Source organism: Homo sapiens, chromosome 8, assembly GCF_000001405.40.
Source record: "Homo sapiens chromosome 8, GRCh38.p14 Primary Assembly".
In the NCBI taxonomy this organism is placed as follows: Eukaryota; Metazoa; Chordata; class Mammalia; order Primates; family Hominidae; genus Homo; species Homo sapiens.
Window position 1 is genome coordinate 127,646,850 of NC_000008.11, and position 25,416 is coordinate 127,672,265.

The 25,416-nt window shown below is 42.9% G+C and overlaps 1 long non-coding RNA gene across 3 annotated transcripts, besides 2 other annotated features; it reads right to left on the bottom strand.

Annotated features, from left to right (window-relative positions):
* Window positions 13,597-14,796: an enhancer, noted in NCBI's record as "MED14-independent group 3 enhancer chr8:128672691-128673890 (GRCh37/hg19 assembly coordinates)". NCBI's record gives its function as "activates an origin of replication core promoter dependent on BRD2, BRD4, P300/CBP and CDK7 cofactors, and independent of MED14, by STARR-seq in HCT116 cells {active_cell/tissue: HCT116}" and the evidence as "EXISTENCE:reporter gene assay evidence [ECO:0000049][PMID:35650434]".
* On the bottom strand, window positions 16,431-22,175 carry LOC105375754 (uncharacterized). 3 transcript variants are annotated; one of them, XR_001746085.2, is made up of 3 exons: window positions 22,090-22,175; window positions 20,580-21,974; window positions 16,431-20,475 (listed from the first exon to the last, which is right to left on the bottom strand). It is a non-coding gene; the product is annotated as an uncharacterized LOC105375754 (long non-coding RNA). The 3 variants fall into 3 exon arrangements; XR_001746086.2 differs by having other exon boundaries at window positions 20,580-20,730; window positions 21,865-22,152; XR_007061106.1 differs by having other exon boundaries at window positions 20,580-22,152.
* Window positions 22,211-22,711: an enhancer, noted in NCBI's record as "H3K4me1 hESC enhancer chr8:128681305-128681805 (GRCh37/hg19 assembly coordinates)". NCBI's record gives its function as "activates a minimal SCP1, AML or CMV promoter by ChIP-STARR-seq in naive H9 embryonic stem cells {active_cell/tissue: H9 hESC(naive)}" and the evidence as "EXISTENCE:reporter gene assay evidence [ECO:0000049][PMID:30033119]".

Below are 25,416 nucleotides of genomic sequence, written 5' to 3' on the forward strand. Positions count from 1 at the left end.
CAAGGCCTATTTTATAATAAAATATTGTATTAAATATCTCACACAATTTATTATATACTGTACTGGCAGTAAAAATAGAATGGGTACTCAAAATATGGTTTCTACTGAGTGCGTATAGCTTTTGCATCATGAGAAAGTCAAAAAAGTTGTTTGTCTCACCTAAGTAGTCAAGAACTGTCTGTAGTTGGTAGTTTGTGTGTAGTATTGAGCATTTCTAAAGTATTCACAGAGTAAATTTCAAATGTTCTCATTACGAAATAATGTTAAGTTCTTGAGGTGATGGATATGTTAACTAGTTGATTTAATTATTCCACACTGTATTCGTAAATTATAACATCACTTTGTGCTCCATAAATTTACACAATTATCAATTGTCAATTTATAATTTTTTTTTAAAAAAAAAAAGATGGTTCATCAGCTGAGATGACAAGCAGAGGCCAGAACAGCCATGATTTCTACTCATGTGGAAGCAAATCAGGGTAATGAGGTTGGTGTCAGAGGAGAAACCTCAATTACAGTAACTACCACTCATGAGGCACTTATTGGCCACTGTACAGCAATGTTGCCTATTATTGCAAGTACTGTCTCCCCCCACCCTCTTATCAGTGAGGCTCAGAAAGGGACTCAAGGTTGCCCAGCTGGTGAAAAACTGTGCTGTGTCGCAAATCCAGGTGCACCAGATTCCAGAGCCTGTGATCATTCTGCTTTGCATATTGTATATGTATATTTAAAAACTGTGCTAATGAAGCTGACAGGGGTTAAAAAGAAAAAAAAATTAAAAAATTAAAAATAAACTGTGCATTTAAATTTACTCTTTGGAAGTCATCCAGAGAAACAGAAAATGAGTTTAGCTGTAGTGTCTTTAACATGCTTCAAAACAAAGTCACAGGCTACGAACAGATAGGATGAGAAAGCTTGTGGTGACAAAGCAGCTCTGTAGCTCGACAGTGGTGCTGGCTGATCAAAACTACATTTATGAAAAAACTGCATAGAACACAGGCACGCGCACGCACACACACACACACAAACCCTGTGGCTTGAACCAATGTCAATTTCCTGACTGTGATGATATTGTTCTATAGCTGTGCAAGATGTTACTACTGGGGGGAGCTGGTGTTGTGTCCTTGGGACCACCTTGCACGTTAGTTTGCAACTTGCTATGAGGATATAATTATTTCAAAGTTAAAAGTTGAGGCCGGGCTCAGTGGCTCACACCTGTAATCCCAGCACTTTGTGAGACCGAGGTGGGCAGATCACCTGAGATCAGGAGTTCGAGATGAGCCTGGGCAACATGATGAAACCCCGTCTCTACTAAAAATACAAAAATTAGCCAGGCATGGTGGCGCACACCTGTAATCCCAGCTACTCTGTAGGCTGAGGCAGGAGAATCTCTTAAACCCAGGAGGTGGAGGTTGCAGTAAGCCAAGATCGCGCCACTGCACCCCAGCCTGGGCAACAAAGTGAGACTCTGTCTCAAAAAAAAAAAAAAAAAAAAATTGAAAGTTGAAAAAAAACCCCAACAACCTCACAGCTAACCCTTCCAAGAGAACTTCTGCCAGAATTCTCAATGGTGTCAGCTTCTATTTATTCCTGCCCCCATTACTGACTCTATTTCCTGGTTATTAGAGGTGCATGGTCTTTGGTGGTAAGAATTACACAAAAAGTTCAAACTATGAAAAAAAAGATGGCAGATTTGACTACTAAATATAATTTCTTACAAAGACATCATAAGCTACATGAAAAGGTAACACATAAACTAGAAAACAATATTTCAAAGCATATAATCAACAGAATATGTATAATACAGAATATATAATCACATATATATACGTGCACATATATATGCATATACATATATATATCCAGAATAATATAAAGAATTCTTTGGCAATCAATAAGAAAACAATATACAACCCAATAAAAAAGTAAGCAAAAAATAGAGAAAGACAATTCACAAAAAAGGAAACGCAATTAGTCAAAAATCACATATAAAGATGTTCATCCTTACTAACCATCTGAGAAATACAAATTAAAAATAATAATGTCATTTCACATCATCAGATTTGCAAAAATTTTAAAGTCAGACAATACCAAAAGTGAATGGATAGGGAAGAACTGGAATTTTCCTAGATTCTAATGGTAGTATGAATTATTGCAACAAGTTGGGGAGCCATTTGGCAGTACCTAGTCAACCTAAAGGTGCGCATACCTTTAAGCCAGCAATTTCTCTCTGAGATGTGTACTCCCAGAGACACTCTCACAAGTGTGCACGAGGATGTGCATGGAGTTTTATGTATAACAGTAAAACACTTGGAAACAAGCTCACTATCTATTCTCAGGTGGTTCTAAATCAAGGCAATTGGATGCCAGGTCTGAGTTCTTCATTTCAGAACCATTCTGCCAGGTTGCAGCTTAGTTTAAGAACAAACTTTCTGACAGAAATGGCATCCCACAAAGCACTCAACTGGAACCAGGCTGCGGGAGGTTAAGCTGAGGCTCTAGTTCCTCTGATGCCAGCTCTAGGAAATTCAAACACATTTGTGGAGTGTAAACACACTTTCATGTTCTAAAGGCCACTGTCAAGACAGGGAACTGGGCTCAATCAGTGACCGCACAAGAATGTGGGCATGCTGAATCCCTGCGAAGCCAAGAATGCACCGGGGATTGGAAGAGATAAGCCAGAGACCAGCAAGATTCAAAGCAGATGAGCAGGCCACCTTTTGTTGGCATCTATGAAGAGAGAGTGGAAAAGGCAGCTTGTGGGGGGCATGATGGAAAGATGTGAAGTGGGGGTCTCTTGGTCAGAGGAAGCTGTTGAGCAGCCATTGAATGGGAAGCAGGGTGAAGGAGCCACGTATTGGCCAGCCTTTGTGCTATGCTCTGTGCTAGGTGCTTTCTACAGGTTATCTCAGTTAAAGTTGAAAGCATTCTTCTCCCTCCTTAATAGAGATGTGGAGATCAAGTTCCAGGGAGGCTGAACTATTTGCAGGCTATAACTGACGGATCCAGGTTTCAAACCCAGGCCAGTTGGATCCCAGAAGTCACTTTTCTCCCCTGTGGCTTCACTGCCTTTACTTAAAGTGACCGCTTTTGTAAGCAATCCATTCATTTGCACTTTAATTCCCGATATTTTGAACCATGAACCCAGATTCAGAGCTGGCTGGGAAGACCCACTCATTGAGTTTGGAAGTACTGATTAGCAGGTGGTTAGAGTGTGGCCTTTAGAGACAGGTGGACAGAGTTGTCTTTGGAAAGGCCCTTAAACTCCCTGAACCTCAATTTCTATGCTGTGAACTAAGGATAAAAGAAATAGTACTTACCTGGTGGGAATAAGATGATATAGACAGCGGGCTCCACCTGGTTCCTGGCACCAAACAAAAGCTTGGTGAGAGCTAAATATAAGTACTTTATGTGTATTTGTTTTTTTTCTCCAACTAGATTCTAAGTTCATGTTTGGAGACACACTAACTTCTATTTATTTTGCATGCCCTACAATGCCTAGAACAATACTTTCTATCTGTAAGGGTTAGTCCAGAGTGCACTGCACAAAAACAGTCTTTACTAGACTGCAAAATCTGAAAGAATCCTTTCTATACCCTAAGGCTTTACATTGAGAAACTGGTGTTGTTTTAAAACCTCAGCCCCTGCTAGGCTTGGTGGCTCATACCTGTAATCCCAGCACTTTGGGAAGCCAAGGCGGGCAGATCACTTGAGCTCAAAAGTTTGAGACCAGCCTGGGCATACTGGCAAGATCCCCATCTCTACAAAAAAAATTACAAAAATTAGCTGGGCATGGTGGCACATGCCTGTAGTCCCAGTTACTTGGGAGGCTGAGGTGGGAGGATGGCTTGAGCCCAGGAGACAGAGGTTTCAGTGAGCCAAGATCATGCCACTGCACTCCACCCTGGTTGACAGAACCAGACTCTGTCTCAGAAGAATGAAAGAAAAAGAGAGAGAGAGAAACAGAGAGAGAGAGAAAGAAAAAAGAAAAGAGAGAAGAAAGAAAATCTCACACCCAGAACAAATATTAGAGCAGGCTAAACTGGCAGGGTTGTCACAAAAGCTGGAAATTGTATCCGTTTCAGAACTAGAAGGCACATCTCTTAGATGCTGCTTGGTTTAAGGTGGTTGATTCACTTTGTGTGTATCTAGAAAAGACTTCTGCCTGTTCCTAAATTGTGAAACCCTAGTAACTCGTTCTATTATAATAAGGAAAACATCCCTTTAAACACACCTTAAAATGTAGGGAATGAAGTCTCTCAAGAAACAAGCTGCAAAGGTGGCTGGTCTTCTGAATATCTTATCACAGTTAAAGTAGGAACATCAGACAGAAAAATGCCAGTGACCAAAGTACCCCATATTTGTCTAGCTCCAGCACATATACGGTTTCATTTGACCTTAACCATAACACCGGAGAAATGTCCTTGTTAGACCCATCGTACAAAAGAGGAAACTAAGATCCAGAAGACTAGTCAAATAACAGATACAGAACCACAAAAAGGAAGAGGCAGAATGTAAGCCCAAGACTACCAACTCCAAACCAAAGTTCATACCTTAGGTGTTATTGCAGCAACTTTATTTCTGAAAGCACCTTTCCTATCTGACCGACGATTGATCTCTTTCATATTGTAAAGTTCAAACAGCTAATTTATCAATGAGTTTCACCTTCCTCTTAATCCCCAACAATTACTTTTTCACTTTGGGTTGGCGGGGTTCAGCCCTGCTGAACAAGATGCTTCCTTCTTAGAATACCCCAGGTGAGAGCAGGCACACGGGATTCTCGTGTGAGCACTAATGTTAATCTGCTACACGGCTCACTTCTCCCTGCCTTTATCATCTCCAAATCGGAACCCCAACCCTTAACCATACCATCGGGTTGTTCTCAAACTGAGATAACAGACATAAGTCATTTTGAAAACGTTACAAGCACTATACAAATGTAGGCATCATTATTACCAAGGCAATAAAAGTATTTATCACACTGATAAATGGTGAGTATGTTTCTGTGCCTCTGTAGTTTCCAAGAACAGGAGTAATTGCAGTTGGCAGATAAATCCAAGGCAGTTAACCAAACCCAGGAGTATTTGGGAAAAGGCACAAGTTGGCCAAATCCAAATGATTTTAAAACACGCTATAAAAATAAACAAGTATTCCAATATAATAATTCCAGTTTCGTCAATCCTTCCTGCTACTTGGAGCAATGTAGCTTGTTATGAAGCAATTACCCTTTGGATCCTTTTAATCCCAGCTGATCATTTTCAGCTTTAATTGTCTTGCTGGGTTTGAATGTTGTTGTAGTTCAAATGTAGCCAATTAGCATGGCCTCAGCCACCTTGTGATATTTTGCATGCAAAGAACACTCCTTAAAATCCCTGGTGGACTTTGTCCCAGATTGTACCAGTAGCCACAGTTCACACCCTCAGGTGCTTATTAAGTAGAAAAAAAGGCCAGCAGAGGCTCAGAGAAAGCCCTGGAAGCAGCAAGCCAAGTTCACCAGGGCTCAAAAACAAAGATCAAGTTTTCATAATGCTGGTGTCAAAATGTGGTCCAGGATGCCTGGACAGAGAGGGTAGCCCTCATCACTGGAGATGATTAAGCAGATGGCACAGGAGAGATTCACACATCTGGATGGGGCTGGGAGGGGCAGCGAGGTGGCCTTTGTGATCACAAAGATTTCTCTCTCCCCCCCTTGGGTGTCTGTGATGCGAGGTGATTTGGTAAGCGACAAAACAAATACAGCTTGGCATTTAGGATGTATAGGCTCACATCCTGGTTCTGCAATTTACTGGCTGAAAACTGTAAGAGAATCTTACAGGTGTGAACAGGGAACATCGTTTCAGGGCTTATTCTATTATGATTGGAATGATTATTACTTAACTCTTCTGTGGCTTAATTTCCTCATCTGGAAAATGGTGATCATAGTAGCATTGGCTTCATGCAGTTGTTCTGAATATTAAATGAGCAAGCACATGGAATACACTAAGCACAGTGTCTGCTATACATAACTGTTCAGTTCCTTCAGCCGCCTCGTCACCATCATCTTTATTCTCTCTTTCGGTGGTGTCATAACTACTGTTCCTGACTCCTTCCTCGCCCACAGCCATCTGCCCTCCACACTGCTGCTGGATGCTCTTCCTAAATATAAGTCCAATCCTGTTCTGCATTTGAATAAAACCCTTCCACCATTCCCCAACACCTACCGGATAGAGCCCGTGTTCTTTAGGCTGGTAGTTAACACCCTTCAAAGCCAGCGCCTTTCTCTTCTCCTCATCAATGTCCCCCGTCCCTGCCTCCCTTGTAGCCTCTACCACAAACCACTCATTGTTCACCAGGTCCCTAGTGCCTGCCACACAGTAAGTGCTTAATGCGTTTTAGCTATATGTTTCCTAAGTAAATGACTTTGGCATATCTTAGATACTTAGGGAGGGAGGTTAAAGTATTGGGAAAAGTAGGAGTCCAAATTTCAATTCTGCTGCGTGGTAACAAGTTCCCTAACCCCTCTGGAATGGTTACTACTGAGTGTCAGCTTGATTGGATTGAAAGATACAGAGTATTGATCCTGATTGTGTCTGTGAGGGTGTTGCCAAAGGAGATTAACATTTGAGTCAGTGGGTTGGGAAAGGCAGACCCACCCTTAATCTGGGCACAATCTAATCAGCTGCCAGCACAGCTAGAATATAACCAGGCAGAAAAATGTGAAAAGAGAGACTGGCCTAGCCTCCCAGCCTACATCTTTCTCCCGTGCTGGATGCTTCCTGCCCTCGAACATCAGACTCCAAGTCCTTTTGCCTTGGGACTCAGACTGGCTCTCCTTGCTCCATAGCCTGCAGACAGCCTATTATGGGACCTTGTGATCATGTGAGTTAATACTTAATAAACTCCCTTTATATACAGCTATTCCATTAGTTCTGTCCCTCTAGAGAACCCTGACTAATACACCCTCTGAGCTTCCATTTCCTCATTAGTAATAGATGGGAATAATATTTCCTTGTTGCAGAGTAATGGTGAAGAGTAAGTGGGATAGCCTATGTGTGGATTCCTGCCATGATGCCTTGCACACAGTGGGAGCTCCAGAGCCACCAGAGGCCCTCCTTTCACCTTAATCCTCCCTGAAACCAGAAAGCAGAGCAATACAAGGCAAGACTTTAACTCCCAGAGCAAGCTTCACTTGGCAACAGATTTGGCTGTAAGAATAGTCATTGGGCAATTACTAGGCACTAGACAATGTGCTTGTTTCTAGGGAGGCAAGTGAGGAACACAGACCAACTTCTCACTCTCAGGGAGTTTAGTCTCACTTAAAAGTCCCACTGCATCTCAAACCAGTCTTGAAGGTGATCACTTAAGGAGGCAGGTTATAAGGGGAGGAGAAAATGCTATCAGCCAGGAGGCTCTGAAAGGTCATGAGTTTCAGAATTTAGCCCTTCTCCAAATTTGGAGAAATTAGTCAACCCTGACACTTTTCTTCTCAAAAGGCAGTGCAGTAGACGTGAAGCATGTAAGTGACCCCCTCAGGGACCTCTTGATAAGTGGAGAAAATAAAGCCACATTAACAGAGACCATCTTTCATTTCCCCATATAAAAATGCGAATACCCTAGGATAGTCAAAAAAACAAAAACAAAAACAAAACACTCTGTAAAAACAGAACAAAGTTGAAGGACTAATATTACCTGATCCTGAGAATTATTATAAAGCTTCAGAATCAAAACACTGTGGTATTTGTATAAAGACAGACAAATAGATCGATGGAAGAGAATACAGGGTCTAGCAATAAACTCATGAATATTGACAGTGAACTTTTACAAAGGTGCAGCGGAAAAAAGGATTGACTTTGCAACAAATGATGCTAGAACAATTGGATCTTGATATGCAAAAAAAAAAAAAAGGAAACTTGGATCCATACTTCATATCACAAACAGAAATTACCTTAAGATAGATTATAAACCTAAACATGAAACCTTAAACTCTAAAACCTATAGAAGAAAACAGGAGAAAATCTTCATGACCTTGGGTTTTGCAAAGATTTCTTACATATGATGCAAAAGCATTAAAAAAATAGAATGATAAATGGAACTTCATCAAAATTAGCACTTCTTCTGGGCACAGTGGCTCAGGCCTGTAATCCCAGCACTTTAGGAGGCCAGTCAGGTGGATCACTTCAGACCAGGAGTTTAAGACCAGCCTGGCCAACATGGCAAAACTCTGTCTCTACTAAAAATGCAAACATTAGCTGGGTATGCCTATGCATGCCTGTAGTCTCAGCTAGTCAGGAGGCTGAGGCACAAGAATCACTTGGACCCAGGAGGCGGAGGTTGCAGTGAGCTGAGATCAAACCACTGCACTCCAGCCTGGGCAACACAGCAATATTCTGTCTGAAGAAAAAAAAATCCACTTATCAAAAGATACAAGCACAGACTGAAAGAAAGTCCTTATAAGTGACATATCTGAAAAAGAATTTATATCTAGAATATATGAAGAATCCTCAAAACTCAACAATAAGAAAATTAAAAACTCAATAAGAAATTGGCAAAAGATTTAAACATGATTTAAACAGATACTCCAACAAAGAAGATATGTGGATGGCACATAAGCACATAAAATATGCTAGGCCAGGTGCAGTGACTCACACCTGTAATCTCAGCACTTTGGGAGGCCAAGGTGGGCAAATTGCTTAAGCTCAGGAGTTTGAGACTAGCTTGGGCAACATGACAAAACCTCGTCTCTACGAAAAATACAAAAAATACTACAGGCATGATGGCACGTGCCTGTAGTCTCAGCTACACAAGAGGTTAAGGTAGCAGGATCTCCTGAGCCTGGGAGGTCAAGGTCACAGTGAGTCAAGACTGTACCACTGCACTCCAGCCTCATGACAGAGTAAGACTGTCTCAGAAAAAAAAAAAAAAAAAAAAGATCAACATCATTAATCATTAGGAAATGTACGCTAACACAGTGAGATGCCGCTACACATGTATTAGGAAAGCTAAAATTAAAAAGTCTGACCACACAAAGTGTTGGCAAAGATGTGAAGCAATTAGACCTTTCATATGCTGCTGCTGGGAATGTTAAAACGGCACCATCACTTTGGAAAACAGTTTGGCAGCTTCTTTAAAAGTTAAATACATACCTACCTCATCATCCAGCCATTCTTCTAGATATTTACAAACAAAAAAAAAAACTGAAAACAGGGCCAGACATGGTGGCTCATACCTGTAATACCAGCACTTTGGGAGGCCTAGGCAGGTGGATCACCTGTCAGGAGTTTGAGACCACCGTGGCTAACATGATGAAACCCCGTCTCTACTAAAAATACAAAAATTAGCTGGGCATGGTGGTGCACATCAGTAATCTCAGCTACTCAAGAGGCTGAGACAGGAAAGTCACTGAAACCCCTGGAGGCGGAGGTTGCAGTAAGCTGAGATCATGCCACTGCACTTCAGCCTGGGTGATAAGAGCAAGACTCCATCTTAAAAAATAAATAAATAATTTTTTTAAAAAAGGAAACATATGTCCATGCAAAGACTTCTACGTGAATGCTTATAGACACTTTATTTGTCATATTCAAAAGCTAAAAGCAACCACATGTCTATCCCTGGGCGAATGAATAAATGTATTGTGGTATATCCGTACAATGAAATACCAACTCAGAAATAAGTAAAAGAGCCAGACAAAAAGAGTTCACTCTGTATGCTTCCATTTATATAAGATTTTACAAAATGTAAACTAACATATGGTGGGGAAAGGGTGCAACAACAGAAGTCACTACAAAGGGACACAGGATGCTTTTGGGGGTGATAGATATGTTCATTATCTTGATTGTGGGGATGGATTTGTGGATGTATACATATGTAAAAACACCAAATCGTATACTTTAAATACATCAGCTTACTGTGTGTCCATTATACCTCAGTAAAGTTGATTTAAAAAGAAAGATGCGGCCGGGCATGGTGGCTCAACACTGTAATCCCAGCACTTTGGGAGGCCGAGGTGGGCAGATCACCTGAGGTAGGGAGTTCAAGACCAGCCTGACCAACATGGAGAAACCCCGTCTCTACTAAAAATACAAAATTAGCTGAGAGTGGTGGTGGGTGCCTGTAATCCCAGCTACTCGGGAGGCTGAGGCAGGAGAATTGCTTGAACCTGGGAGGTGGAGGTTGTGGTGAGCCGAGATCACGCCATTGCACTCCAGCCTGGGCAACAAGAGTGAAACTCTGTCTTAAAAAACATATATATATGAAGAAAGATTCCTGATATACTGAAAAAGTGTCAAGATGGGGGAAAAAAAACAAAAGCAATGAGATACAGAAGAAGAGATATAGGGGAGACTTGAATCCCAAGTGCTCTAAGAGCAGACAAATGCTGCTAATCACTTTATCACCCAAAACTGGACTTCAGTCTACCAGAGTTCAGGCAGATGGAAAGTAGACTGAGAAAATGCTGAAAACAAATTGATGTGCTATAAACTGGAATAAAATTCAAAGTATTTGCACAAAGCTGTTCTACACAGAGAGCTGTATGATTCTAAAAATTTAATTACTTACTTAGAAAATAACACACAATACACACACACACACACACACACACACACACACACACACACACGAGCTTAAAAACAGTGCCAGTAACTGGTATGACAAGAGATGAATACATTTAAAACCAACCCAATGTCTGGCTGGAAGCAGTCATTCTGAGCTTCTGACATTGCTAATACATCAGACAGAGGCAGCAGGAAGAGTTCCACTGAGGAAGATTCAAATGCAATTTGAGAAACCAAACAGGTACCAGTGAGTTAAGGGATCAGCCCTTGAGAATGAGGGGAGATGAGACCCAGCAGAGGGAAGGCAGGGAAGAAGGCAAAGCAGGTGTTAATTTCACTACCTAGCAGCAAGGCTGAAACTCTTGACAGCTACAATTGCCAATAGGCAGGCATCAGCTTCTAATGTCTGCTCTTAGTTGTTACAGATCAACAGGTCTGAAAGGGTTCATCTGGTGTTCCCCTCATTTTTTAAATTTTTATTTCAATAGTTTTTGGGGTATAAGTGGTTTGGGATTACATGAATAAGTTCTTTAGTGGTGATTTCTGAGATTTTGATATGCCCATCACCCGAGCAGTGTACACTATACCCAATATGTAGTCTTTTATCCTTCATCCCCCTTCCAACTTCCCTTCTACTGAGTCCCCAAAGTCCATTATATCATTGTAATGCCTTTGCATTCTCATAGCTTAGCTCTCACTTATAAGTGAGAACATATGATACTTGGTTTTCCATTCCTGAGTTACTCACTTAGAATAAGGGCCTCCAGCTTCATCCAAGTTGCTGCAAAAGACATTATTTCATTCCTTTTTATGGCTGAGTAGTATTACACAGTGTAGATATGCCACATTTTCTTTATCCACTCATTGGTTAATGGGCATTTAGATTGGTACCATATTTTTGCAAATGCAAACTATGCTGCTATAAACATGCATGTACATGTGTCTTTTTAATATAATGACTTCTTTTCCTTTGGATAGATACGCAGTAGTGGGATTGCTGGATCAAATGGTAGTTCTACTTTTAGCTCTTTAAGGAGTCTCCATGCTGTTTACCATAGTGGTTGTACTGGTTTACATCTCCACCCGCAGCATAAAAGTGTTCCCTTCTTACCACATCCGTGCCAATGTCTATTGTCTAGGTGTGACAAACGAGTTCACTAAAGTCTCAGGATATAAAATCAATGTACACAAATAAGTAGCACTTCTCTACATGAACAATGATCAAGCTGAGAATCAAATAAAGAACTCAATTCCCTTTATAATAGGTACAACAAATAAAATAAAATACTTAGGAATAGAGTTAACCAAGGAGGTGAATGACTGCTACAAGGAAAACTGCAAAACACTGCTGAAAGAAATCATAGACAACACAAATGGAAACACATCCCATGTTCATGGACGGGTAGAATCAATATTGTGAAGATGATCATACTGCCCAAAGCAATCTACAAATTCAATGCAATTCCCATCAAAATAACATCATCATTCTTCACAGAAATAGAAAAAAAATCCTAAAATTCATATGGCATCTAAAAAGTCCCCCTTGTTTTGAAAACAAAGAAACTTAAGGTTTGAGGGTTAAGGTGGTCTTCAAAAAAAAAAATCTAGCTTTTCATGACTGTGTACCACAGCAACACCCTCTTTGAAAAGACTCTGAGAGTCAGCTCAGGCGATGCTAGAGCCAGACTCCCTGGTCTTACATCCTGTGTCTTGTGTTTCCCCTACTCCTGAAAGTGCAACTTTGGGCACGTTATTAAGCATCTCACTTTCTTTAACTGTAAAATGAGGCAACTAATAATACCACCTCATTAGGGTTGTTAAGTCAGGGTTCTCTGGAGAAATAGAACCCATAGGGCATGTGTGTGTGTGTGTGTGCGTGCACACACACGCGTGCACACATGCACACAAAGAGAAAGTTTTAAGAAACTGTCCCACACAATTGTGGAGGCTGAGAAGTCCAAAATCTGTAGGGTAGGTGGGCTGGCTGAAGACCCAGAGAAGAATCACAGTTCCAGTCCAAAAGCTGTCTGATGGCAGAATTCCTTCTTCCTTCAGGGAAATCAGTCTTTTTCTATAAAGGCCTTCAACTGATTGAATGAGACCCACCCATGTTATTGAGGGTTATCCACTTTACACAACCTCCACTGATTTAAATGTCTACCTCATCTAAATGAGAGAGGTGTAGAATAATGTTTCACCAAATATCCAGGTCTCATGGCCTAGTCAAATTGAACACATAAAATTAACAGTCACGGGGTGCTCTGAGACTAGCCCTCATCTTCTCCCTTCTCACCACTTCTTCCTAACAAATTTCACAACAGTTCTCAGGCTTAGATTAAGCATGAGTGAAATTGTCTTCTCCTCCTTCTCCCTCTCCTACCCTCTCATATTTCCTCTTTGAAGAAACCCTGGCACCTCATCTTCCCCCTCCCCTTGTTTGCTCATCACAGATTCCCAAATAGATCTGTCCTCTCTAACAGTATCCTGTGCTCTAAACTAGTGGCTTCCAACTTTGGCTGCACATGAGAATCATCTGGGGGGAGCTTTTTTTTTTATTTTTGAGATGGAGTCTTGCTCTGTTGCCAGGCTGGAGTGAGGTGGTGCAATTATTCTAAGATGCTCATTCCTCACATTTTAACATCTCTGACACTGGAATGCCACTTGCAATTCATAGTTTCCTACAACTATAATTGGTAGCATTTAAAAAATTATCTTATTGATACATAAAGAAGCATCACACAATCTATTGTGCCTTACATGAAGTAGAATGTGGTCTATTCAAAAGGTCCAGGGCAACTCTAGGCATGATTGGTACTTAACAAAAAGTTAGTTCTTTTAAGTTTTTGTTTTTGTCTTTTGTTTTTGAGATGGAGTCTCACCCTGTCACCCAGGCTGGAGTGCAATGGCGCGGTCTCAGCTCACTGCAAACTCTGCCTCTGGGTTCAAGCGATTCTCTTGCCTTAGCCTCCTGAGTAGCTGGGATTACAGGCACGCGCCACCACATCTTGCTAGTTCTTTGTATCTTTAGTAGAGACGGGGTTTCACTACATTGGCCAGGCTGGTCTGGATCTCCTGACCTCGTGATCTGCCTGCCTCGGCCTCCCAAAGTGCTGGGATTACAGGAGTGAGCCACCACATCTGGCCCTGGGGAGCTTTATAACATCTCCAAAACCAGGCCACACTACAGAGAAATGAAATCAGAATTTCTGCAGGTAAGTCCCATGCATTTAGTTTTAACTCCTTGGGCAATTCCAACTTTCCAATATGCAGTCACATTTGTCCTGTGCCCTTTTCCTTCAAAGACTAATCCCACAGCAGAAGGTCAGATATCTCATCTGCTTCTATCTAGTGATGGATTACATGTTTGTTTTCATGAGTTTCCTATAGAAACAACACCCTGATTAATACACAATACATGACCCAAAAAATGAGAATCCCAGACAGACCAGTGGGTGAAGGGTGTAATTTAGGATACTATCCCGCGAATTACATCTCACAGAAGCTCACCTGCTTGAAGGATCAGCCTTACTCATGCCCTATGTGCTCATGAAAGAGTGCATATTCATGAGCCATGGATGTCAATGGCAGCAAGAAAGAAGAGAAAATAAACACACTCAACCAGTCGGATCTGCTGAGTCAATCATGGAATCCAATGAGACACGAATTCAAATGCCGCAAGTAAACACCAGTAGTAATAAGAACCATCGTTAATTGGGTGTCTTGCCAGACCTAATGCTGTAGTGCTCAGTTTTCTTTGCCTCTAATCTTCACTACTCTGAAGTGCAGATCTTTTTATCTCCAAGTTAAAGAAGGAGGCCAGGCTGAGAAATGATAAGCAATGTGGCCAAGGCTGCCCAATTAAGAAAACCAGAATATGATTTGCAAAGCATCTTCACATCCATTATCTCATTTGACTCCAAAACGTCCTGACACACCTCTCTTTTCTCAGCAAGTTGTACTTCTTTTGTCTGCCATTTTACTAAGTATTCATTTCACAGACAAAAACCCAAGATGCCAATACATTCTGAAATGACTTATCCCAAGCCACATACCCGGTTAGTCATGCAACCAGGACTCATGCCTCAACTTGCCCATGCCAGCTCTCCTTCGCTTTCATTTATATATAGGGCTGTCTTTCTATCCACTGACTTTTCAGAAAGTTGAACTGCTGTTATCTGGCTCTTTATTAAGGTATATTAATATTGAAGTAACTTCACCAACTTAAAATAACTCCCCTAACTTTCTTCACAATTCCTCCTCCCCCCATCCAAAGGATGGGCTGGCTCCCAACGACTACATTCGTACAATATGATACCCCAACCCTCTTCAGTTAATTAAACCAACAATGGATCTCTGACTGAGAATGAACCAATCAGATTCTTTTCCTCTGCAATTTGAAATTACACTGAGTGTTTCTTTCTCCATGTGGTCCTAGCTGTAACACATGACTTGGATGCCTAGTAGTAGGTAACAATAACCATTGGTAATGCTTGCCAAATGTGCCCAGCTCCCTGCCTTCTAGGAACCTGGTAGGATTGTCCTGCCTGGGCCCTTTGTGAATAGTTCAGTCTATGTGCCTAGTGCCTGCCAGTCACTAGGTTTGTGAGCAGATGTGACCTGTGCACTTCTAGACAGGATCACATCAAAAGTTTTCTCTGTCTCTCTACCTCTCTCTTACGAATCAGAAATCTTTGAGGTGGTGGCTGCTTTATCAGCCTGGGTCTCAGAGTCGTGAAGCAGGAACTGGAGTTCCCCTGCCAACCCACATTGGACATGTAATGTGAGCCAAGAATAAAATCCTTATTTTTGTAAACCACTAAGGTTTGGGGGTTGTTCGTTAATATGGCATAGTCTAGCTCATTCTGACTGATAGTTGTAGAAATAATAGTAAACCCTTATAAACCAATAGGGTTTGGGAATTATAACTACAGCATAGTCTAGACCAAGAATTGGCAAAGTATAGTCTGTGGGCTATAGTTTTATAAACTACATGCAATGGAATGCAGCCATGCTCGTTCCTATTTACACATTGACTATGGTTGCCTGCATGCTACAAGGGCAGAATTGAGTAATTGCAAGAGAGACCTAAGAGCATAAAAAGCCTAAATTATTTTCTATCTGGCTCTGCATAAAAAAAGTTTGCTGACCACTGACTTAGACCATTCTGACTGATTACAACAAAAATAAGAACAATAGCAAATACTTGTGTAGTGACCATTCTAGGCATTTGACACACATTAACTCACTCAATCCACACATCAACCAGTTTCCCTGCCTCCGTGCTTGCATCCGCTGCCTTCCTTAAATCCATTTTTCACATAAGCAAATCAAACCAAGTGAGTTTTCAATCATTCAGTGTCTCTTCATCACTTATCTCCTACCTGTTATAAAAATTTATCCAAATTCCTTATCTCTGTGCCTCAGTTTCCTCATCTGTAAAGCAGGGGCGATATCAGTAACTACCTCATAGACTTATTAGAAAAATTGAATGAGCTCATTCAGCCCTGACACTTGGCACAGTTCAATGCCTGGCACTTAGTACTATAAGTACGATCATGAACCACATGATGTTTTGGTCAACAGACTGCATACACAACAGTGGTGCCATAAGATAATAACAGAGCTGCAAAGTTTCTGTTGCCTAGTGATTTGTTACAACTGCCTACAGTATTCAGTCAGTAACATGCTCTACAGGTTTGTAGCCTGGGAGCAATGGGCTTTACCCTACAGCCTAGGTGCGTATTAAGCTATCCCATCTAGGTTTTTGTAAGTACCCTACTCTCTACGAGGTTCCCACAAAGACAGAATTGCTTGACAACACATTTCTCAGAACAAGTCCCCATGATCAAGCAACACATGACTGTATTACTCTTAATAACAAAACCCACAACACTGAAAGCAGACTCAAGTATCTTTATTTAACAAATGAGAATATTCATACTGCCACATAATACCAATACATAGTAGGGACTCAATGAGTATGCATGCAATAAATGAATGTTTCTTGTTCTCATACCTGACACTGACTTCTAGGATCCTTGCTAGGGGACATCCCCTACCACACCCCAAAATAAATACTACCTGCATTTTTCTCCTGCCAGATAAATGCAGTTGAGTGATTCCTTCTGAAGCCATTTCTAATACCATGACGCTATAAAGAAGGTCATTCAGCAAACTAGATGGTAGTTACTGTGTCACTTTTAAACAATGGATATTTTGAATTCCAGAGAAAATGGTGTTAGGTAAAGAGTGACATTTTATTATAAATTTCCTCCAATGTCATCTCATTTACTTTTAAATTGAACTTAGGTGTGTTTGAACTTGTCCCTGAACTCTTAGTCACTCAAAACACAAACACACAGTTTGTAAAGAAAGTTTGCCTCCTGTGAGACCCACAAGGCAGAGGGATTTGATGGGTTTTTTTTCTTTCAAATCTGTAATGAAGATTTTTCTTCAGACACACTTTCTCCTTCTGTCACTGCTTAGCTCTGCTTAGCTGTACCTACATTCTCTCTGAAATGTTACCTCTGTGAATCTCATCTTGCCCATTTGTTTAAGCTGCTGTCTTTTAAGAAGCGTTTCAAGGGAAATACACCCTGAACAGCATCATCAAGCCTCAGTAATGTCTTCTGATTACACATGTTTGATCTGCGTGAATTCCATTTCTCTCTTGCCTTCTTCATCCTAGTAACTACAGCCTCTCCCCGATAACATCAACACACCAGCCTGATAGGGCCAGCAGGAGAAACACCATTCCAGGGATGAGACAGAAAATCTCTAATTGTTCTGAATTTCATAACAAGTAGCAGGAGAGAGGAGAAAGACAAGAAGACAGGAAGCGCCCTCACTCTCTTTGAACTCCAGGTTGGGGCTTCGCTCAAAACAGAAAGGCTGGCTGAAGAGTATCGCATCATTCCCAGAAGACCAGCCTCTGTTATTGTTATTGTCACTTCTTTTTTTTATGAGACAGAGTCTCACTCTGTCTCCCCAGCTGGAGTGCAGTGGCACGATCTCGGCTCACTGCAACCTCCGCCTCCCGGGTTCATGCCATTCTGCTGCCTCAGCCTTCTGAGTAGCTGGGACTACAGGCACCTGCCACCATGCCCGGCTAATTTTTGTATTTTTAGTGGAGACGGGGTTTCACCATGTTAGCCAGGATGGTCTCGATCTCCTGACCTCATGATCTGCCCACCTCGGCCTCTCAAAGTGTTATTGTTACTTCTAAACCTGCTCTCCTGTATGTTAATTCCCAAAAATCAACCAAGAAGCTAAAATTCTAAAATTCCATATTCTTGATAATCCACCACTTAACTCTGTGCACCGGCCAAAATGATTTATCTGCGAGGTTTCTATTATGAGTTGAACTATGTCCCCCAAAAAGACATGTGAAAGCTCTAACCCCGAGGACCTGAAAATGTGACCTTATTTGGAAATATGGTCTTTGCATACATAATCAAGTTAAGATGTGATTATACTGAATTAGAATAGGCTTTATTCCAATCTGACTTGTGTCCTTATAAGATGAGAAGCAGCGTAGAGACAGATACACAGGGAAGAGGGCCATGTGAAAACAGAGGCAGAGACTGAAACGATGCATCCACAAGCCAAGGAAGGCCAAGGATTGCTCTTTGGCCTTCTGTGAAGGCCAGAAAAGAAAAGGGCAGAAGCTAAGAAAAGGGCATTAAACACATTCACCCCAAAGCCTTCAGAAGGAGCACAGCTGTAGGGCCAACATCTTGATTTTGGGCTTCTACCTTCTAGAACTGTGAGAAAATACATTTTTGATGTTTTAAGCCACCCAGTTTGTGGTACTTTGGTATGGCAGCCCCAGAGAAAGTAATATAGCCTCCAAGCTGCCATCTCCTGCCTCTTTTCCTTCACGTAGGACAATACCTCACCTACATGAGCTCAGCATCTTCTCTCAAGCCTATCCCATATCCTCGGATAAGACATTTGGACTCCTGTAATCTCCGCTTCCCTCAACCTAACACTCTCCACGGTGCATTCTAATTGTCTCTCTCTACCCACAAGACTACATCTCAGTCATCTTTGAATGCTCTGCACAGAGCCCCTTGCTCAGTAGACATACAACCAAAATGGAAAGATGAGAAAAGTGAAGAAAGTGGTCAGATGAAGGAGATGGGTAATGTCTGAAGTCAAATGTGAAAAGGTTCAAACAAAGATATGACAGAAAAAAATATTCATTCTAAGGGTACAAATGACTAAGGCTATAATCTAGTGAAGGAAATGTAGATGATATTGAAAAAAAAACTGAAGCAGGTGGAGTTTGGGAACCAGAGGAATATAGGTTAAGGGAAATTCCATTTCAAAATGCAAAAACAGAGTTGTGGAGGCAAATTAACGCTGGTGAAGATAATAGGTTTGGGATATAGAACACGAGAGGGGAAGCAAAGTCAGCAGAAATAGCAAGGGAACTTTGAATCCTGCAGAAAACAATACTGGCCTGGAGCACTTACCTTCCAGATTCAGCTATGAGCCCATCTTAAAGACAGTACCCTCCATCTGACAAGCATACATAAGGACTAGTTTACCAAACCCCCCACACTCAAACTAGGGGACGCCACTAGGTGCCTCATCCAGGAAGCTTAGTTGGGGAACCTAGGACAGACCTGCTGATACAAGTGATGGTGGGGTTCCGAAATGTCATACCCGTAACCCCACTGGATATATCCCACTGGAATAGCAACGGCGTGAGGTGCACAGTGGTAGGTCAGAAAGAACCTACTATGGATCTAACTACAATGATTTTATTTAGACCTTGCCCACCAGGTGACATAAGGGTCATTATCCCCATTTCACAGATAGGAAGACTGAGGCTCAGTGAAGCTAAGTGACTTTTCTAAGATGACCTAGCTCTAGTGAGTGCTTACCTCATTACGTCTTGCTCTACATGTCCACCCAGTTTGCCTAAGATGACCAATACATGGGAAAGCACTTTGATATTTGTTGAATGGCTTAGAAACAGAAGAAAGTATTCATGCTCAGAACTTGCTAAGGCCAGAGGTGCTCAGTAGTGAAAAATGGCTGACTCAAAAAGTAGTGTATTTGCCCACCCTCACTGAAAGGTCACCATAGAGAATCTTGCCTCTGTAAGTGCAGTGGATACCCCTCAAAAACCCACCCTACTGTCATGTTTGGTCCGAACAATTTGCCTTCGCCTGGTCATACATGGCCCTTCATTGCTCTCCTCCTCTTTGCTGAATCTCATTTCTTTCTTCTCCCTCACCTTAGCTCTCCACTTTTGATCATGCTTCCAGGAGCTCCCCCTACCCACTCCACCTCCCATGACGGATTAATCTAATTACTTTGGGACTCAGCTCAGAAGTCCCAGAGAACACTGTGGCTTCTGCTTACTGTTTCATATCCCAGCACTTGCCATCTGCTGCGTTTGTCTATTGACATATCTCTCTTCCCCATTAGATTGTAAGACTGTGGGAGCTGGGGTGGCATCTCATAGATATACCCCTAGTGCCTAGCACAGAGCCCAGCATGCAGGTTGCCTTGTGGATTCTATATTGAAAGCACCAGTATATGTTGAACTGTGGCAGTCCATCCACTCTCTGATTTCTCTTCTCCCCTCTCAGCTGCACAATTCCTCACAGATCTGTTGATAAAGACACTATCAATGGCAAGCTGCAGACCTTGCCTTATCTGCCATTCTTCTAGAAAACATCTATCCTCTACAAAGCCCAACATACAAGATGGTAGAAAAGAGGAGAATCATGGCCAATTCCTGGAGCATCCATAAGATCTGATGGAGACTGAGATGGGTAGGGTCCAGATCCTCTTTTCTTCCTTAAAAATGGTTATCTCCATGAGGATGAGGATCTTTAGAACAGCACTGGCTGGGCCAGGCATTTCCCAGAGTTCTTCTGATCCCAGGGTCCCTGTGGGACTTCTCTTCATGTACAGCTCTGAATAACTTCAATGAAAAACAAGGAAAGTAAAGCAAGTTAGAGAACCGTTCCAAGGGGCCTAGCCAAATAATTAGAAAGATTGGTCTGGAAAGACTTTGAAAATTCCAACCTTTATATTATTGCAACAGACAAGAAGAATCCAGACTTCTGGGCCAGAGAAGAATATGCTGAAAAGTCCACACATATGACACACAAGCTGGAGGCTCAGTATTCCACTTAGGAAAAAGAATCACAAGGACAATCCTGAATTGGTTCCACATCTGTGGAATAAGGGACAGTCACTGGGCTGACTTTTGAAGACAGAAAGATGAATTATTAAAGCAGTGCTTGCCCTGAAGGAATCATAGTAATTTTAAAATAAAAAAGTCAAAAGAATTACATAGGTCAACATCTTGACTCCATGCCCAATATGCTGTTCCAATTCGTTTACTGAAGAACTATTCATTCTTTGGGGCCTTTCAAATTTTTCACACTGTGGACCACTTCATAAAGGGCAAAAAACAGGGATCATATTAGCAGGGTGTAAAAGGGGAAATTACTAAGAAGTCAGGGATGGATTCACTTGTGATGCTTGTGAATGCATTCTTCTTCTTTTTATTAATTATTACAAACAAATTAATCATTTATACTCAAAACCAGTATGAAAAGAGGCCAACCCTGAGATCATCAACTCCATCAGAGTTGGAGAGCATTCATTCCTATTTACCCTTTCAGACTCATCTAGGATTTCGCTTCCTCCAGGAAGCCTCCTTGAGTCCCCGCCTTATCCAACAGAATGAATTCCTTCTTACCTGGGCCTTCAGCATGCCACACAAACCTATCATTTCTGTGTGTTTGTTTATGTCTGAGTCCAGTATTGCACCATGAGCTAACTCAACAAGGACTGAGTTTTGCCCCTGTCTAATCCCCAGATTTATCACAATGACTGGTACATATAGGTGCTTCATGAGTCATGAGGGTCTGTTGAATCAAATCAACACAAGTCTAGAAGGAGAAAGTCAGTCCGCAGGTTATCAGATCTCTGAAATAAACCATTTGAAAGCATTAACCCAAGGCTCAGCATAAACAAATAAATTAAATTAAATTGCCTTGGAAAGTCCAGCCACCCAAATCTTGGGCCACCTAAAGGGATAAATTGCCACTCTGCACTGCCAGACAAAATGACAGCCAGCCAGCTTTCACCAACCACTCTGAAGTCACTTACCCGTGCAAAATTAAATCCTCACTAAAGGCATGGAAAAATTAACTGAGTCATTCTTGACCAAAATGTGGTTTCCAGTTATCTAAACTTCTCCCACAAAGAGATGACCCATCATATGAAGGTTCCTAATTCTCTCAGGGGGGGTTAATAGATTGGCTATTGACCAGACACATCATCCAATAAACCTTCCTACCTGATCTCAGCCAAGATCTCCCGCCTTCTCCTTGCCAGGGGCCTGATTCATGCTCTAGGACACCTGCCAGCAGGGCTCTTGACCTGATTCCCAGGGAAGGACAGGGCAGCCTAAGAGAACAAGACAGAGGCAGGGTGGAGGCACAGCCTGAAGGCCAGCGGGGAGGGAGGCTTCCCTAGAAGACAGACGTAAGTGCAGCTCTGGGCACACACATTGGCTGTTTACCTGGGATCCTCACACAATGTGTTGCAAGAGTTCTTTCACGGGCAGATTGCAGCCTGCAGATTACTCAGCATCAGCAAGGGTGAGCCTGAGGGGAAGCCACAGCCTTCACAAGGAAACCGGCCCACACCCAGGTTGCACCTTTTACCCCGGGAACTCGCCCCGGGCCAGTTCCTATGGAGGCTGCCAAGAGAGCCCCACTTGAACCTTGGCAGGGAGGTAGTGCTTGCCCGGGGTGCTGGGGAGCTGCTGTGGATTCTGGGACTTGCTTCCTGTCCTTTCTCCATTGTCCACCTTTCTGAATTTTCCAGTGTATTCTGGGGTGTGTTCCAAAGAAGGTTTTACAAAGGGAAGATCATAGTGGAATTTTGCAACAGCCTTCTAGCCATCCTCTTCCTCAGCTGCTGTCTTGTCCTGTCTACTCTGTCTCCCTCAACACTCCAGAGTGAACTCCCTAGAGGACTCACCTGAGCTTCTCACTCACCTTCAGGAACCCCATCAAGAGCTCCCTGTTTGTTGTGGTCCTAACTCATTAACAGGACATACACTGCCCCACCCAACCTTAGCCTCCACAGATTTACCTCCAAGCTCAAAGAGGGGGCCAAGGAGCAAGTTTAGGGAGTGGTGACTCTCATGACCTCCATTAGCAGCACCCTCATTCTTTAATGCGCATTGTCAGCTGTTTCCAAATCTTATGCAGAGAACTGTGCAAACACAGCTTCACAGTCCCCTCAATTTCTCTTCAGAGCCCCATTACTGTAGAGAACCTAGAGGCACCCTGCCATGCCCTCATCACATTGCCAGCTTAGAGGCTAACTTGTAGTTTTCCAAATATATCCTGCATTTTTTTTTTATCCACCAAATAATCTTTCTGGAGCCAGTTACCAGCAATCCCATCAGGAACCACAGTCAGGCACAGTCTTCCCAGATTCCCCAGAGGGAACGATGCCACTGAACCAGCAACTGTGCCTTTGCCAGAAATTCCCTTCCTACTCAGCTTCCTACCTGTTGACCAAACTTCTACTTCCTCAAAACTCAAGCCAATTGCCATTTGCTCCGTGAGATCATTCCTGGCCTTCTCTTAGTGATATGCCCTCTGGGCTCTCATCATCTCTCGGCGGACTTGCCTTGGTGGTCTCTTTTGCTATGTGTCTCTCCCCATGCGAATGTAACCTCCTTGAGGACAGGAATCACTGTCTCATCTCTGTATCCTGATGGTAGGAGCACAATCAATATTGGTGGCATGTAATAGTCCCTCTCACAGCCTTTAAGATCCCCTTTGAAATGTGGACCCAGTCTGACCTGTAGCTCTGTCCAACCCTCCTGGTTACATCCAAGCCTCCAGACCTCTACAGCTGCCACCTCCTGGCCTCCCTGCTTCCTGTTCAATTCCCTAGTCTCTATTGCCCCTACAACATAAATCCAATCACATCTCCCCAGCTCAAAATCTTCTGCACTTAGAGAAACATCCCAAGTCCCTACCACAGCCCACCAGGCCCTACGTGACGTGGCCCCAGGTAACTCAGGTACCCCCTTTCCTCTTCCCCAACTCTCCACACCTCACGACAGCCACACTGACCTCACTGCTTCTGAAGCCCACCCAAAAGCATTCCCACCTCACCCCATTGCTCTGCTCTCTCCTCTGCCGAAACACAGTTTCTTCAACATGGTCACCCCTCATTTCTTCCCACTCTGCAGTCCCTATTCCTGTGGTGTCGCTATTTTCATAGATTTCTCATTGCTAGGTAGCACAGGCATTGCTAAATATGCTCCTTGATTTGCTATCACCTGTTGCCCATACTCTGTGCCCTCAGGGCTCTTACAGTTGTCCCAGGCCATACATACAGCAAGCGTCTCCTGAGTAAGCTGCTCTGGGCGCACCCGTTTTCTGCTCCTTGGGGCAGATCCTGAAAGACCCAGGGTGAAGGGGATAGAAGGTACCACCTTCTCTTTTTCTCCCAGTTCTGATCCATGTCTGGGCACAGAGGTGTGGTCATGGAGCTGCCAGGGCAACAGCTGGGCTGCAAGAGCCTGCACATGGCACGCCTAGTACCTGCTGAGAGGCTCATTCCTGAGCCCTGTATCAGCACCCAGGACTGCTCGCAGAGGAGGAGCTGCAAAGCCAGAAAGCATCCTGCCTTGGCTAAATCACACTCCTCAAACCATTTCCTGGCAATATATGGGGCAACTTGAAAGGTGACAACTATATAGGTTAACCCTTGTCTGCACTCCAGCCATGACAATAGTCTGGTCACAATTCTTCTCTACTAGACCTTACTCGAGAACCTCCAATTCCTCTTTCCTGGAGTTTCCAGGGGCTACAGGATCTTTCCAGTCCTTTCCTGACTCTCTCTATCCGGACTCTCCTTGCTCCATTCCTGTAATAAACTGCTTGTGGTCATTCTCCCAGCATGCCATACCCTCTAAAGCCTCCACACCTCTGCTTATGCAGATCCTTCCTCCTGGACTGCCCTTTCCCCTCTCCTTTGATTAATAAGTTACATTCATCTTTCAAGCCTCAGCTCAAATGACACCACCTCTATGAAGTATTTCCTGACACCTCCTTCGAGTGGGTTCCAGTCCAGGCCAAGTGCTCTCCTTCATGCTCCCATCCCTGGGACAAATTCTATCATATATCGGTAGCATTTTATTTCACTTTCATAAATGTTTCCAGGGCTTTCTCCCCAACTAGGGCTATGAGCTCTTAGAGAACTGAACCTTTGGCCAGGCATGGTGGCTCACACCTGTAATCCCAGCACTTTGAGAGGCCGAGGCAGGTGGATCACTTGAGGTCAGGAGTTTGAGACCAGCCTGGCCAACATGGTGAAACTCGTTCTCTACTAAAAATACAAAAATTAGCCATGCATGATGGTGCACCCTTGTAATCCCAGCTACTTGGGAGGCTGAGGCAGGAGGATCCCTTGAACCCGGGAGGCGGAGGTTGCAGTGAGCCAAGATCATGCCACTGCACTCCAGCCTGGGCGACAGAAAAAAAAAAAAACAGAGAGAGAAAGCTGAACCTTTATTCACCAGCACTAAAAGGCCAGAGAAAAATGAGAAAAATTGTAAAATGCAAATCAGTTGGTGTCACTCCCTTGCTCAAAAAGCCCCCAGTGGCTCCCACCTCACTCAGACTCAAAGTCAAAGTCCTTCTTCTTACCTACGAGAACCTACACAATCTTTATCCTGACTATCCTGTCCACCCATCAGCTCTCTGCCTCTACCTCCTGGGACCTGCCTCCTCATTGGCTCTTCTCCAGGTACACCAGCCTCCTCCCTGTTATTTGAACATATGAGGCACGTGCCCACCTCAGGGCCTATGCACTGCTG